This window comes from Homo sapiens, chromosome 5, assembly GCF_000001405.40.
Source record: "Homo sapiens chromosome 5, GRCh38.p14 Primary Assembly".
In the NCBI taxonomy this organism is placed as follows: Eukaryota; Metazoa; Chordata; class Mammalia; order Primates; family Hominidae; genus Homo; species Homo sapiens.
The window spans coordinates 58,258,058-58,260,910 of NC_000005.10; the positions used below are offsets into that span (position 1 = coordinate 58,258,058).

Here is a 2,853-nt window from a genome sequence, read left to right on the forward strand (position 1 = left end):
CCCTTCTAGGAAAAGAGCTTTAGGTTAGAAGCCTGAAAACTCTTTATAGCAACTATCTGAAATAAGTTTATTGAATGATATACAACCTTCCAGGGTCTTTAGAGAAAGAACACTCAGGAATTTACTTAGTTCTGCATTTACTGAGGCAGGGTGGCTACCACTCTTTGGTATGACTAATTATGATTCCTACTTTTTTCCAGTGAGAAAGCTACATTATTATTGTTAGATTTAAATGTTCCTATTTTTAATGAAGTACTAAGGGAACAAGTTAGAAACAAACTAGTAATCAAGAACCCTGGAGACTTGTTTCCATTTTCAAAGTTTCCTTTGTTGATTAATACTTTGTTTTTAGAAAAGGGTGTATGTGTGTGCATGTGTCCCATATATGAACAAAAAGTGACCTGAAAAAAAATTGGGAAAATGAGGCTTTTCTTTACTTCAATCTGGTACATTAGATTAACTAACTTAATGTGTATGAAGTCACTTTTTATACATTTTATACACTTTTTACACATTTAGGTTGCCACCTAAAATGTATACACCCATGCCCATAATTGATTGTAAGCCTACGGCACTGGGCATATTAGTGAAATGCAGAGAAAATTTTTCAGTTTTTAAGCCATCACACTGCTCTGTCCCTAAAATCTTGAGTGAGTTGAAAATAAAAACTACAAAAGTTTATGCCATTAGCAATGTTCTTGACCTACATAGGTTTTGATGCAAGCCATTTTGCAGATGAGGTTGCTCTCTCTTTAACTGATTTCATGGTCAAGGTTGGAACCAGCATAAATCACCTTATAAGAACAGGCACATATCTTGTTCACTTCTAAGATATATGTTTCCTGCCATGGCAAGTGTCTGGCAGAAGGCACTTAACTCCGAAAGCATTGTTACAGGGATCAGCAAATACAATTCCCTCAGTACACAGCATCTCCAGAAAGTTCCCAGAATTCTGAAACAAGTGATTTTTATGGCCATGCCAAATAAAGTTTATTCAAGAAAATGCTCCCCTATTTGTAACATTCTCAAGAGTATTTACAGCAAATGTTTGGAGAGGTAGTGCTGTGGGGAGTAGTCAGGTGATCTGGAATGCCATTTGTTAGTGAGAGCTGCTGAACACATGGTAGTCATTTCATTTCTCCTCAATGGGGGCACCAAAGGCTGGCTCCATAGAAGTACAGAGGTCTTTCATCATTATGCTCTACTAAGATCTCACTCAATGCTGCCACAAATTTAACAATATTTTTTAAAAACTTCTTCATGGAGCCAATTATAATTTTCTCACAGGTATATATAATATTCATGAAAGCATCTTTAGAAACTGTTATTTTTATTGCTCTGTAACAATTAAGCTAAATAAAAACCATATCCTTACCATGCACAGGTAGCTCCAAGACCTGGCTCCAGGCTACCACTCCCACAGATGGCTGCCTGGACATAAAGCCCATCCACTCCAAGATAGGGAGCCAGCACTGCTACTGGTTGTCTTCCCAAAACACCAGTGATTACTGGCAGGGTACTTTCATTTGAGAATAAAAACAAAACCAAGTAAAACAAAAATCACACACACAAACACTGACTTCCTAATGTGGTACTTTTCATTCAGAGAGGGAAAATAAACATAAAATAAAATGAAATCATAAGCTTCAGAGAGTAGGATCATTTGCTTGCAAATCATTCAGATGCAGTAGCAGCTAGTTTGCCCAGAGTTTAGATTAAAAGTGTCAGGTTCCTTCAGGGGGATTTTCCCAAGCGCGGATGAAAATCACACTCGGATGCAGTCATTCCTTTGGAATGTAGCAAATTTAGATGACCCAGGTAGCTGTGGAGGCTGCTTTCCAAGGGCATTTCCAGCTCTCTTTCCTTCTCTCTGAGAGCAAGAGTGATGAAGTGCATTCTTGCCTACTCATCTGCCCTGTGATCTATGGATCCACAATGAAGTACAAGTCGAGCATGAATCAGCAAAATGCTCTATTGAAAAAGAAACTGACCTAATGATGCTACGGTATGAAGTATGAAGAAGTAGGAAGGTATGAACAACAAGAAAATCCCCAGTGCACCCAGCCTGGCTCACACTCTTGCTGGGAGACTCGCCCAATGTTGGATTTCAAGTAGGTTCAAGGTAGGTTTGCCAGATAAAACACAGAATGCCCAGTTACATTTGAATTTCAGTAAACAACTGATAATAATCAGTGGACTGTTAAGACATCTACCTTTCTGATATTCTCTCTTCTCTGAAGCCTCCCTGGATCCTTGAGGTACCAAAAGCATTAATAATAAAAGCAACAACCAATATTAAAGAGCTTCCATTTTCAAGAGCACTTTTCACATTCATTAGCCAGCTCTTTAGTTTGTCTTTACGACATTCCTGAAGGTTGATATTATTATGGGCAATTGACTGATAAAACTAGAGGCTCATCTGAAATTAAGGCATTTATTCATTCAAGTAAATGTTACAGTTAGATTTAAAGCTCTGGTATCAACTTAACTGCCTCCCAAAAGCACTTTGTGCCTTTATTTTTAAAATAAAGCTTATGAAATTCTCCCAGATACCTCGTTTATCTACCTTGCTTTCACCTAAATTTCGGGCTTCCAGAAAATGGAGATTGATTATTGTTTATTTTTACTAACCTCACCATGCCCTGATGTTCAATAAAATGTCTTTTGATTTAGGCCGGGCGCGGTGGCTCACGCCTGTAATCCCAGCACTTTGGGAGGCCAAGGCAGGCATATCACAAGGTCAGGAGATCAAGATCATCTTGCCTAACACAGTGAAACCCCGTCTCTACTAAAGACACACACACACACACACACACACACACACACACACACATACAAATTTAGCCGGGCGTG

General features: G+C 38.7%; 1 annotated feature.

Annotated features, from left to right (window-relative positions):
* Window positions 1,429–2,628: an enhancer, noted in NCBI's record as "P300/CBP strongly-dependent group 1 enhancer chr5:57555313-57556512 (GRCh37/hg19 assembly coordinates)". NCBI's record gives its function as "activates an origin of replication core promoter dependent on BRD2, BRD4, P300/CBP, MED14 and CDK7 cofactors, with strong dependence on P300/CBP, by STARR-seq in HCT116 cells {active_cell/tissue: HCT116}" and the evidence as "EXISTENCE:reporter gene assay evidence [ECO:0000049][PMID:35650434]".